We start from the raw sequence: 14,449 nt of genomic DNA, 5'->3' as shown, positions 1-14,449 counted from the left end.
ACAGTCTGATAGCTACAGAAGCCAGCCAAATGCCTAGACAGGGGCAAGTCCCTGGTGAAACCCCACCTGAAAGCCAAAAACAGGCCACAGGCTGAAAGACTGACTGCTAGTCCTGTATGAAACACAACCCAGAATGAGAACCTCTGTTCCTTTTTGCCTGCCGTTTCATTTATGATTGATTCTTTCTGAATAGTATCTTTTAACCAATCGAATGTTGACTTTTCCAGTACTACCTATGGCTTGCCCCTCCCCCATTCTAGGCCCATAAAAAGCCCGACTCAGCCATATTAGAGGGACCTTCCTGCCTTTGGGAAGGGGGACAAACCCCTCGTCCCTTTTCAGGTTTGCCTGACTAGTTCGTGACTCAATAAAACTTCCCACCTTGCTCACTTTGTTAGCACATCCTTATTCTTCATGGGTGCAGGACAAGAGTTTTAGAACCACCAAAAAGGGGTACAAGCTATAACACAGGTGAGCTGGGGCATGCCAGCATGGCCATGCAAGGCCCAAGCAGGGCATCACCAGCCAGGGTTCATCAGCTTACGAAGTGACTGAGAAGAAAAATCCTATCATTTTGGGGGCTCACTCAGGATACCTGAAGGGTGAGTAAATGTGGACCTAAATTTCACTTTTTTTCTGTGAACTCTTGTCCTCAGACATTTTTCTGAAGGCAGATGAAGCACCAACCCTCTGGTAAGCTAGTTAAGAACAGTGGTGCAACTACAGAGGACAGGATGCTGGAGAGGACCCTCCCCCATCACTCTTGGGGTTAGGGAATGTTGGCCTCATTCAATTCCCATTTTTCCTGTGGCATTTGTCTTCTTGTTTTTCGGGGATGTTATGGTACTTATCTCTTTTACAATGTTGCAAGTGTTGTTGCAAACTACAAACATATTACTAGGTGGAAAGAGCATTTGGACCAGCCATCAGGTATGTAATTCAGAACAATGCAGTTTCTGTTCCTAGAGGAAAACAGGAAGCAGAGGTTAAAAGTCTCTCTCCCTGCTCGAGGAATCTATTTGCATAAAGAGGCTTTTTCCACCCCAAGCACCTTCCCTGCCCTGAATGTAAGCTGTTTTTTTTTTTTTTTCTTTTCTTTTCTCTGCCACATACAGGGAGCTTTTCTATGCAAGAGGTTTTGTTTTCTTTTGGAAGGCATCTTACTAGGCCAGATCCCCAATTCTCCCTTTCTCTCCATTGTCTGAGTACAAACCCGTTGCACAGCTATACCTGAGTATTCAGCTTATAAGAAGATGGCAAAGAAGTAGCCCTCACAGCTGCTGGCTGCAGTCTGGTGAGGGCAACCTGGACTTAATGAAACCATGCCCCTTCCTAAGGAAGTTGCTTGTCCCAAACTGAACTCCAAGCTTCAGGCTGAAGCTCTAGAAAGGAAAATGGATCTGAGGGATCCAGCGGCAGACAATAGTCAAGGGGCACAGTGCAGGTGAGCATGACTAATTCCTGCCAATTGGAATCTCCACCCCCACTGCCCATTTTATGGATACAGGTCATGCTAGCATCCATGGCATAGATAAGTTACAGACAGCAGAAAAAATAGGCAATGGATAGGTGAATGCGGATAATTCCTACCTGTTACACGTGCGTGAAAGCACCCTGCTGAGTCACTGGGACTCAGGGATATAAAGACAGAAGAAATAAAGGGGACGCCTTTTCTTTCTCTCCCTCGTGTACCCCAGGTATTCACTGGAAACACACAGGAACTAAGGGATGCCGTTTTCCCCTCCTTCCAGGTAAGTAACCAGCCACCTTCAGTCTGCACTTCTCTTGGATACATCCTGAATCACTGGGACTCCCTTGAAAAAAAAAAAACAAAACCTTCTTTTTCCTTTTTCCTCCTCTCTCCTCTTTGCAGATGAGTAATTGTGTCCCCATGCTACAGAATCCCTACAGATTCATCCCCCAGACTGGGAAAAGTCAATTTCCCCAAACCTCAAACTGTTTGGCTTAAAAATAAACTGGGAAGGCTGGGCATGGTGGCTCAGGCCTATAATCCCAGCACTTTGGGAGGCCAAGTAAGGTGGATCACAAGGTCAGAAGTTCGAGACCACCCTAGCTAACACGCTGAAACCCCATCTCTACTAAAAATACAAAAAATTAGTTGGGTGTGGTGGCACACATGCCTGTAGTCCCAGCTACTCAGGAGTCTGAGGCAGGAGAATCACTTGAATCTGGGAGGTGGAGGGTGCAGTAAGCAGACGTTGTGCCACTGCACTCCAGCCTGGGTGACATCAAGACTCTGTCTCACACAAAACAAAACAAAAAACAAACAAAAAAAAACTGGGAAGCAAGCACCAATCTGAGTAAATATCTTGAGGAGGGACAACTTTTACAGTATCATTGCCTACTTCCCTTTCACAGGACTTCAGGATAGATAGGTCTTCACAACTTGGGGGAAGGGAACTCAAAAGCCTGACATGACAGATCAGCAAAAAACCGTTTTTCTTACCAAACTTCTGGCCTCGCTCTCCCTGTGTAAACTGGTAGAATGAGTTATAAAAATCACTATTTAAATCCTCTCTGTAGTTTTAATTAATAGAAAAAAGGATTTATTAGACTACTCTTAAGCTATAGCCAATCTGATATGCTTTATGTGTCTCTCTATATGGTTCTGTCGTAAGAATACCCTAGGATAGAGCACGGCCTATGACCCAATAAGCCCACTGTTCAAGCTAGGCCATCAAAGTGGTCAGTAACAAATTTTGCTCGTCTCCATCTTGTTTTAAGCCCCTGGGAGCTTGACCTTGTAAACCTGTGGCAGTACTTTCTTTGGGTGTCTGCCATTTTACAGTAGTGGTCCTGGTTCAATATTGGCATAGGGACTAAGTACTTTCTGGTTAGTGTGTGAATTTTACTATTTGCTGATTCTCTTCCCTTCCATGAACGACTTCTAGCTTCCTTTCTTAACTCATCCTATCTCTGAGCTATCTTTAAAGAGTCTAGGTTTTGTAAAAACTGCTTACCACCTCTTTGAAAATACCACATGCACTCTTCATTAAGTCATAACTTTGAGTTGAGGCTTGTTGGTTTCACCTGTGAGGTTATATTTTTGGTGAAGGTCAAAAGCCAAAAATATTGGCCTCTTGGCATAGCTAAAGTTGAGTAACAAGGGGTTTTAAATTATTTTCTTAAGGAATGCTATGCTTAATTAAAAGTGGATAACCAAGCTATATATTATTGACCTCATGATCCACCCACCTCAGCCTCCCAAAACTGCTGCAATTACAGGTGTGAGCCACCATGCCTGGACCAAGCTATAGGTATATTTAAAAGGCATCTATGTTTTTCTTCCTCTTCTTGGAACTTTCTGGAAAAAGTTTTTTTTTCTTCTTAGTCATCTGAATTACTTTTCTTCATTTTGTTGTGCCACTCTAAATGCATGCATGATAGGCTCTGAGATAACTTCTGAGAGCATGAGGCTGCTCGGAATAAACAGAAAATGTGACATGGACCCCATTTTGGGAAGGAAAAAAAAAACAACTCTGTTTTCCTCATGGAACTCCAGAAATTAAAAGTGAATAGATCCCTCTCAAAAATCTGCTTTTGGCTTCTACCTATACCTGTTCATTAGGCCCTAAAACCTCCATGTTTTCCTAGCTCTGTTTTTGGACAGGCTCCACCAGGTGGTAATCGAATTAGGAGATGAGCAAATTAAAAATCTTGCAAATATTGGATCTTCTGTTTGTGGTTTGTGTAGTTATATATATGTGTTATGTGTATTATGTTTATATAAAAAAGAGGTCTAATTAATTGGCTTAAAGAAAAATATGTGCTTAGATGAAATATTTTTGAAGGAAAAAAGCTATAATGCCTTTTTTGTTCACGACTTTAATCTCTCAGAAATTAAAAGTTTTAAAGATTATTGGTAAAATACAATTGTTTTCAAAATGTAAATACATAGTCTAAATTATGCAGGTCAGATTCTAGGTTTGCTAAATGTCAAGGTTATAAACTGCTTCTTTGGCTTTTGAGAATTGTTTGATTTGCCTGTTTCACAATTTGGTCAGGCCTGGGGACATATGTAATTAACAGTGCTCCTCCTAGCTATGCCATAAACTTTATCTGTGCCTGGCACATAATCAAAAGAGCTTAACCGGCTGGGCACAGTGGCTCACACCTGTAATCTCAGCACTTTGGGAGGCCGAGGTGGGCGGCTCACCTGAGGTCAGGAGATCGAGACCAGCTGGCTAACATGGGGAAGCCCCATTTCTACTGAAAATAGAAAAAATTAGCCAGGCATGGTGGCAGCTGCCTGTAATCTCAGCTACCCTGGAGGCTGAGGCAGAATTGCTTGAACCCGGGAGGCAGAGTTTGCAGTGAGCCAAGACGGCGCCATACAAACTAGGCAACGAGTGAAATTCAGTCTCCAAAACAACAAACAAAGAGCTTACCAGGTTTTACATTAAAATTACAAATTGCTGTGAATTACCCTTATGTAACTGAAGCTATTGAAAATAGATTTATACGAAAGGTGTGTAAGAAAAGTAAAATGTGTTAGCAGTAAAAAATATAAAAAGGCATGGCAAAGTAAATTTTTCCTTAGGAGGGTGGAAGCCTTATTTTAAATTAGATAAAATGGGTTTTGTCTATTTTAGTTTTGTAAAAATTAATCTTATAAAATAAATTCTGTGTGAACATGTTGACTAAATTCAAAAAGTATTTTTTTGGTTTGTCTCTAATTTGAGCATTTAAATAAAAAACACAACAAGGTTTTCTTAAGGCACTGATTTGCTCTTTAACAAAATTTGTAAAGGGTTATGAAAGATTTACAAGATTATCACCTCACGGTCAAACTGGCTAAGATCAGAGAGAATCATCTATAAGGTTTCATTTAAAAGTTGGGGTTGATGTTAACCGTAGACTAAATCAAGGGTGAATTTTGGCTTTCTCTCCCTTGAATAAGATTTTCATGTAATAGGAAAGAATAATTAAAGACTTTTGTTTGCACCTTGAGAATAAACTTCCAAAAAACAGGCAGTTAAGACAGGAGTAGATTGGAAAGCTAAGTCTTCTCTCTTAATGAAAAAAGGTTTTTGCCTTTTTAAAAATTTTTGAGTCATCATTTTGGCTAAATAACTTATTATAATCTGGAATTCTACTTCATAATATTAAGTGTTTTAAATATCTAACATATTTAACAAGCTTCCCCAAATCAAACTTCAGTTTCAAGGTTATCTCTTCTGACCCCTAACTTTTGGATGCTACAGAGGGCCCATGGGGAAGTTCTGTGGGATTGGCAAAATAAAAATTATATTTAATCTTCAGGTTATATGTTAGTAAATTATAATGTATGTTCCAAAATTGTGTGGGATTTCTAAAATTCTAATGTCTGAGTATATGTTTTCAATCATCATTAACATTATGATTTTAAGTTATTGTAAACCACTAATAACCTAATTTCTTTGTCAATTGTATTTGTAATTGGGTCATTTTGTCATTCACAGACAATTGCCTTGTCTTGATCCTCTTCAAAAGATGGCTTATCATCAGCTATAGAACTCTGTCAGGTGCTTTTAAATGCCAGTTTCTGATGACACTGGAAACTGTGACACTAGAATAGAGGAAAAATGTATAGGACTCATGAAGAGCTGAAATGTTCATGAATATCAAGCAGAGCAAGAGTTAACTGAATGGACTGAACAAAACTGAAGGAATATTTTTTTTTGTTTGTTTTGTTTTTTCTTTTTTGAGACAGTCTCGTTCTGTCGCCCAGGCTGGAGTGCAGTGGCATGGAATCTCGGCTCACTGCAAGCTCTGCCTCCTGGGTTCACACCATTCTCCTGCCTCAGCCTCACGAGTATCTGGGACTACAGGTGCCCGCCACCATGCCGGGCTAATTTTTTGTATTTTTAATAGAGATGGGGTTTCACCGTGTTAGCCAGGATGGTCTCAGTCTCCTGACCTCGTGATCCACCCCCGTCGGCCTCCCAAAGTGCTGGGATTACAGGCATGAGCCACCATGCCCATCCAGGTATTTTTTTAACTTTTTGCTTAAAACATTTTGGATCCTTGTTTTTTTGTTTTTCAGAGTCAAGAAAACTTTTGAGATATCTACACTTTTAACAATTGAGTAAGGTATCTTCCTGAAAACAAAATTTGTAGCACATTTGTCTGCCTGGTTTCTCTAGAATTTGGAAACTATTGATGAGTATCCTTAACTTATGGCAATACAGTTATCTGCATTCGTGAAGTAAGAATCCATTTTCTTTTGCAACAGGATACAGCTGGAGAAACTGGTGGTTTTACCAATGCTTTGACTGCAAGGGTGTGCTTCCTTTTAAGGAATCAAGCTTGACTTGCAGTGCCAATAAAACCCCTTCTGGAAAAATGGCCTCATACCTTGTCTATGCAGTCCTAGTATGCGGCTCCTAACCTGTGTGAGTAAAGAATGTCACTTACCACCAGGCCCAGGAGCCCGATGTTATCCTGGGACTGCAAGAAGACAGGGAATTTACCTAACTCATAGATATTTGAGGGTACAAACCCATGGCTGAGCTCAGCTTTAAAAGGTCTTGTCTAAGATTCCTTGTGGAGCAGAGTTCCATCAAAGACAATTTAGAGCACCTATGTGAAAAATAATTATTCTTGCTACCCTTTGTACAAACAAGCAGGCCAAGGAAAAAAACTAAAGTTTTATTTTGCAAAGAACTCAGAGTCCTATCATGATTTGTTTTTAACAAATATGAGAACTGGAAAATGAAAAATTACATTTCAAAACTTACATAATTTTAATCTCATTAGTTGTTGTAAGTTTTAGCCTACATTTTAAACTAACCTTGCTTATTCCTGTGAACCAACCAGTGATCTTTGGCTGCATTTCAGAAGAAACAAAAGGGATGGATAATATAAAAATCTGGATAAATATTCTAATTCTGGGTAATTACCTGCAAATCCTGCCAGGTGATAAGAGTAAACAGGGTGCTGATAACCCAGAGGTTTCTTTGGGAAAATAAAACCAAGGGAACTAACCAAAGCCAAGCCCCATTCACCCAAATCTTAACAGGCATACCAGTAGCCACCAGTTATCTGGGCATGTCAGCAGCCTCCAGATTTTTCAGCTGTTCTTTCCCTCGTTTCATTTTCATACGTGACTTCTAATAACCAGGTTTGTCGCTTCTCATCTTCAGGGCATAAAACTCCAAACGGTCATGCAACAGGACACCTGGACGATGGCCCCTTTTACTGAGGACCCTTAGGCAGGCCTCTGAGGAAGATCTGACTGCCGTTTTCCCAAAATAGCACCCGTAACAGCAGGAAGCAGTTAAGACTGGTCTTCATCCCTAACCTAAGGGCAGTCAGATGTACCTCTTCAGAGGAGGGAACTTACAGCAGTAAGAGGCAGCCAAATGCCTAGGCAGATAGGGATAGGTCCCTGGTAAAACCCCATAAAGCCAAAAATGGCCTGAAGGCTAAAAGACCAGATGCTGGTCCTGGATGAAATTCGAGACCAAGAATGGGAATTTCTCCAGCTGTTTGCCCACCCTTTCACAATCAATTCTTTCTTTTCCAGTACTACCTAGGGTCTGCTCCTCCCATTCTGAGCCCATAAAAAGCCTCAGACTCAGCCATATTAGGGACACTTTCCAGCCTTTGTGTAGGAGGACCATCCCCTTGTCCCCTCCCCACTGAAAGCTGTTTCATCACTCAATAAAACTCCCTGCTTTGCTCACTCTCTTGATTGTCAGCATATCCTCATTCTTCTTGGGCACGGGACAAGAACTTGAGAACCAGTGCACAAGCCAGATGGGACCTGGGCAAGCATATGGGGTGGGGTACCTCTTGTGGCAGGTAGCATGTCCCAAGTGAGGCCTCCAGCATCAATTTCCAGAGGTCCCCAACTGGCAAAGGGACCATGAAGAAAATCCTGCATCACTATTACTGGGCCAGAGACCATGCCAATAGTCATAAACTTAAGTTCCAGTAGAAGACAAAAACACAAAAGATTAAATAAAGTAGAAAGTGTTGGGTTCATGAAAAATTGCAAGCAGAGTTCAAAGAGTGTACATCATTACCAAATAAAGATGCAATATTTCATGAAGATGGCATATGAACTGGGCCTTGTAGGTCAGACATGAGAGAACACAGGCCAGGCAAGCCAAACATTAAGCATACACTAATAAGAAGGAATAAAAAAGGTCAGAGCATGCACATCAATTGCGGCTAGTTTTATCTGATGAAAGAATATTAAGTAATTATGAACATGTAGAGGAGAGCTAGGTCAAAATAACTTCATTCAAGTGGAATCAACACAGTAAATAGTTGTGAACAATATTTGAGAGTAACTGGAAGAGAAAGCTTCCTTGAGGAAGCTACTACTTGTTTTGTGTAGCTAAAAGGAAGCCAAAGAAGCCTCCCATGATTCTTTTCACTAACGTAATTCCTGCACTAAGCGTGTACTTACAATTACTAAAATCATCCTCGATAAAAGCAATATACTTTTAGACAGCTGATACTTATGTGGCTCAGATAATAATACCCTTTATATCAGGCAAGGAACATACACACACACATACAATGACCCTCATTTTAAGATTATTACAGGTGTTGTTGGCTTGGTCCTGGTAAGCTGCAGCAAGAAGGACTATGGGTTAGTATATGTATATACACTAAAAAATTGTACATTATACCAATTATACTGAATAATTGTTAGAATATATGTATATTCTCAAACTATGGGGCTTAAGGCTAGTAACAGACGTGAAGTCTTATACAAAGAAATGACAATAATCTTGCCGACCAGGGTATCTCATCCTTGGCACTGTTACCATTTTGGGTCAGATAACTCTTTGCAAGTGGGAGAATTCTGTGCACTGTATGATGTTTAGCACTATCCCTGGCCTCTACCTACTAGATGCCAACCAGTGTATGCTAATCACCATCCCCTCACATCATAACCAAAGATGTCCCCCGATATTGCCGAATGCCCTATGAGAAGGCAAAATCAGCCCCAGTCAAGAAGCACTGCTTTAGACACTATAATAATTATAATAACATTCAAATCATCATTTATTATTATGCTTAGTTTATTCCTATAACTGTTAAATATGACATTAATATACCGATTCGTTGATGAACTGAGATTATCTGTAATTATTTTCACTAGAGTCTAGACAACTACTTTACAAACAGTATTCTACATCATTGCATAATGCATTCTTGAAAACATGACAGAAGTCAAGAACAAACGACAGACTTACACATTTTTAAAGACTTTCAACTCTTAAGAGCAGAACAAATGTAATAAAATCCCCCATAACACCCATGGTGCTGCTTGTAAAATGGCTCCCCATGATGCAGCCTCCTGACAGTCATGGTTTTGTCCAATAACCATGTTCTGATCAATTTGGAGCCTACCTAATGATTTGTTTTTAACTATGTCAATTCCATGATTAGATTATAAAGACTTCCATGTTACTTGCATTTGCTGCAGCTTGTCTTGCTTGCTTGCCCTAATGAAGCAAGCTGCTGTATTGTGACTTGCTCCATAAAAAGGGCTGCATGGCAAGAATGCACTATAGTAGATGGGTGAAGAAATAAGACCAAGAATCGAAAAGGAACTTAATTCTGCCAATAATCACCTGAGAGATCTCAGAACCATACTCAGTCAATCTTTCAGTTGATGACAAACACATGAAAAACCTGATTACAGCTTTGAAGAGATACTGAACCAAAGGACACAGCTAAATCATGCCTGTATTCAAAATAAATTGTGAGATAAAAATTGTTATCTTAAACCACTACAGTCAGGATAATATGTGACATGGCTTGGATCCATGTCTCCACCAACCCTCATGATGAATTGTAATTCCCAATATTAGATGGAGGTGGACCTGGTATGAGATGACTGGATCTTGAGGATGGCTCCTTCATGAATGGTTCAGCACCATACCCTTGGTGCTGTTCTTCTGACAGTGAGTTCTTGCAAGATCTGGTTTTTAATTTTAATTTAATTTTATTTTACTTTTAAGGCAGAGTCTTACTCTGTTCACCCAGGCTGGAGTGCAGTGGTGCAATCTTGGTTCACTGAAACATCTGCCTCCCGGGTTCAAGCAATTCTCCTGCCTCAGCCTCCTGAGCAGCTGGGATTATAAGCAGGTGCAACCACACCCAGCTAATTTTTGTACTTTTAGTAGACATGAGGTTTCACCATGTTGGCCAGGCTGGCCTTGAACTCCTGACCCTCAGGTGATCTGCCTGCCTTGGCCTCCCAAAAGTGCTGGGATTATAGGCATAAGCTGCTATGCCTGACTCAGATCTGGATTATTAAAAGTGTGTAGCACCTCCCGCTTCACTCTTTCTTGCTCCCTGCTCCTGCCATGTAAGATGTGCCTGCTTCCCCTCTGCCTTGTGTCATCATTCTAAGTTTCCTGAGGCCTTTCCAGAAGCCAAGCGGATTCCAGAATCATATTTCCTGTACAGCCTGCAGAATCATGAGCCAATAAATCTCTTTTATTTATAAATTAGCCAGTATCCAATATTTCTTTATAGCAATACAAGAATGGACATATGTTATCTAGCAATAAATGCCTAAAACAAGACATCCTATATAATGTTAAACATATTTTCTGCACTTAATTTTTCCATTTTAATCATTTCATTCACCGTTAAACAAAGCTATCCAAAATAATCAAAGAACACAACTAAACTCAGTAAGATTAAGAACTCACGGATTCCCTATGACTTATCAGTTCCTTTACCTACATGAAAATCCCCACTTATTACTAGTACCATTACTTCCAATTTTTGTTTTTCATTCATCCTATCAACTGACCTTCCAAAATACTTGTATACAAATACAGCAGAGATCTCAAAACTGAAGTGCTCTAAGGCCAATCATACCACCATAAAATACAAGGAAATCTCTCGTCAGCTTCTGTAAAGACTGAACTGGAAATAAGAAAAGAAGTTGTCAACACAACTATATTGTCAATACATTAACACATAAAAGAAAATGGACTCTGTACCAACTTCAAATGTATCACAACTGAAAACAAGCTAATATTTTCAAAACAAATTCATCTCACAAATCATTTTTTTTTTTTTGAGATGGAGTCTCATTCTGTCACCAGACTAAAGTGTAGTGGCATGATCTCTGCTCACTGCAACCTCTGCCTCCCCAGGTTCAAGCGATTCTCCTGCCTCAGCAGCCTCCCGAGTAGCTGAGACCACAGCCACATGCCACCACATCCAGCTAATTTTTATACTTTTAGTAGAGACAGTGTTTCACCATGTTTCCCAGAATGGTCTTTATCTCCTGACCTCATGATCCGCCCACCTCAGCCTCCCAAAGTGCTGGCATTACAGGCATTGAACCACCATGTTTGGCCTTAAATTTTATTAAAGGGAAAGGGATACTGGAATGGAAAGGGGCTGGCTGGTTGCAGTGGGCTATGACTGCCCTGGCTGAGGAGGAAGTCTACTCAGATGACTGGTTGGGTGGGGAGAAGGTGCCTTAGAGTTTTAGTTTTGGCTTGCATCACTTACTAAACTGAAAAATAATCCAACTGATGAAAACTTTGACACAACACACTAATCTGGTAATAATCAGCATCAAAATGTTCATGACAGCATATTCACAATGACAAAAAATATTGTAGACAACCTAAAGACAACAAAGGAGAAACTAAAGAAATCTTGATACATCAATATAATGAAGTATTACCAAAATTCCTACTTAGGGAAAACTTAAATTAGAAAAAAAAAGATGAAAGAGAGAAGCCTCTAGCTTAAACTATTTTTATCTAATTTTTAAAAATGAACACAAAAAAGTAAAAAATACATAAATATTATGATTGCCATTATAGCATGGTATCATGGGAGGTAGAATGTTTGTAGTTTTTCCCATTTTATTTCTCTTCTCTGGCCTCTAAACCTCTTGTATTGATCAACAATAACATGCATAACTTTCACACAAAAAATATATATGCCCAAACATACAAAGGGACATATGTCCTCCCACAAACATATACACAGAGAAAGGAATGTAACATAAAAATTCTCTACCACTACTTCTTGGGAGACTGAGATGCAAAGATCACTTGACTGTAGGACTTCAAGGCTAGTCTGGGCATGGCAAGATCCCACCTCAAAAGACAAACACTAAAAGCTCTCCATTAAATAATAAACAGCAAGTTAAATAAGTTAAACAAGTTAAACATTTAAAAAACTAAAGCTGGAAGCAATGTAATCCCAGCACTTCGGAAGGCCCAAGCTGGAGGATCACTTGAACCTAGGAGTTCAAGAGCAGCCTGGGCCACACAGGCAAAGCCCATCTCTACAAAAAAAATTTTTTTTAACTAGCCAGGTAAGGTGTCATGTCTGTTGTCCAAGCACCCAGGAGGCTGAGATGGGAGGATCACTTAAGCCAGGAATTCGAGGTTGCAGTGGGCTATGATTGCCCCCACAGCACTCTAGCCTAGGCGACAAAGCCAAGATCCTATCTCTAAAAATTAAGTAAAATTTGGTTTTCATTTACAAAGAATTCCAGCTCTGTGGACAAAACGTATTTTAAATATTCTATTTAAGCAGGCTATGTACCTCATATAATTTTTATGCTCTCTTGTGCCCAAGTTAAAAATAAGTTTATCTACTTAAGAAAAAAGACCAGTGAAAAGAAATGTAATCAATGTTACAAGGTTCAATGACCATAAACCATCATAAATAAAACAGGTATGTGAAAAGAAAATAAATCTCAGGACTCCAAAATGACTAAGCCAAAGGAAGTCAAGCAGGCAACTGACTCAGGCAAACCTGCCTCCCATTTTATTTCTAAATAAAATAGCTCCAAACATAAAAAAGCTACATCCCTCCCTCAGAATTTGCCCACAAGGAAATTCCTGTGGACAAAAAACACAGAGAACTCGAAATCATCCCTCTGATGCTCAGGTGAGAGAAATGCATATCTGATGGAACCCTAAAAATTTAGGACAGGTCTCAGTTAATTTAAAAAGTTTATTTTGTCAAAGTTGTGGACACAAACTTGTGACACAGTCTCAGGAAGTCCTAACGACATGTGCCCAAGGTGGTTGGGGCCCAGCTTAGTTTTATACATTTTAGGGAGACATGAGACATCAATCAATATATCTAAGAAGTATGTTGGTTCAGTCTAGAAAGGCAGGGATAAAGTGAAGCAAAGGCAGGAAGACTCAAACGGGGAAGGGGGCTTCCAGGTCATAGATAGGTGAGAGACAAACTGCTGCATTCTTTTGAGTTTCTGATTACAATCAGATATGCATCTAAGTGAGCAGAGGGGTGAATTTGAATAGAATGCAAGGTAAGTTGGCCCTGAACAGTTTCTAACTTGACTTATCCCTTGAGCTTAGTGATTTGGGGGCCCCAAGATTCATTTTCCTTTCATATCCCACTCCCCCCAGCCTTTTCTTTTATAAAATCTTTTGGAGAAACTATTTTGAAACAAATGAGTCTCTCTGGTCTCAGGTTTCATCTGATCTCTCATGGCTAGGATGGTTTATTCCTATATGGGTAGGTCCTGAAAGCTCATTTTTAGCAGGTTGTGAAGTCTCACATCCTGTAAAGAGAAAATAGGAGGAATTGAGAAAAAACAACACACAAAAGAATACTCCTGGAAAATCGATACAGGCCACATTACTCTGAAGTCTATACAACAGTAGGCAGGTATGAAAGTGGCTTATGTATATAAATAGGTTGCTGTTATTTTCTTCTGAGGTTTAAGTTGTCTGGCTTCAGTTCGCAGGACTTTAGGAAAGCGCAGCTTAGTTTTCAGTGACTCTGAATTCAAAAAAATGGGGAAAAAAAACGGAGGAAAAGCAGAAAAAAATTAGAAACAGTATTTTGAAGACTTGTAGCCAAGAAAAAACTAGAATTCAGCCCGAACTGCAGAGATAATAAAAACTGAAAAACAGTAGGCAAGTTTAGAATCTAACAGGTGTACTATAGTTTTCCGAAACACAATTTTTCTCTCTCCGTTTCCGTTTTCCCTAAAGACAAATTATGGTAGGGCTGGTTTGCTTTAAATTATATACTTGGCCAGATTATTTGTACACAAGTATATTAAATACTTGTATTATATACTTGGCTAGATTATTTATATACAGGCCAGATTATTTATATTCCACTGCAGCAGGAATAATTATTTTTTTACATGAGTTTTAAATTGGCTTTGATGGAACTTTGTTCCACAGAAGGAATCCCACATAAGATTTTTTTAAGCCATGGATTTGGGCCAACAAATATCTGAGTTGGATGGATTTTCTCTCCTCTTGGGGTTCCAAGATAAACTTGGGGCTTCTGTGTCTGTTAGAAAGTAACATTCTCGCCTGTAATCCCAGCACTTTGGGAAGTGGAGGCAGGCAGGTCACGAGGTCAGGAGATTGAGACCATCCTGGCTAACATGGTGAAACCCCATCTCTACTGAAAATACAAACCAAAATTAGCTGGTCTTGGTGGCGGG

General features: G+C 39.8%; 1 long non-coding RNA gene across 5 annotated transcripts in view; it reads right to left on the bottom strand.

Moving 5' to 3' along the window:
- Positions 8,998–14,449, bottom strand: part of TTTY15 (testis expressed transcript, Y-linked 15) — a 29,882-nt gene continuing 24,430 nt past the window's right edge. For 2 of the 5 annotated variants that reach the window (NR_001545.3, NR_174085.1), the window contains one exon: positions 8,998–13,767. This is a non-coding gene — a long non-coding RNA (testis expressed transcript, Y-linked 15). The remainder of the gene's footprint in view (positions 13,768–14,449) is intronic. The other 3 variants (NR_174087.1, NR_174086.1, NR_174088.1) reach the window with 2 other exon arrangements.

This window comes from Homo sapiens, chromosome Y (assembly GCF_000001405.40).
Source record: "Homo sapiens chromosome Y, GRCh38.p14 Primary Assembly".
NCBI lineage: Eukaryota > Metazoa > Chordata > Mammalia > Primates > Hominidae > Homo > Homo sapiens.
Note: the sequence above shows the minus strand (reverse complement) of the source record. Positions and strands in the feature narration are given on the sequence as shown.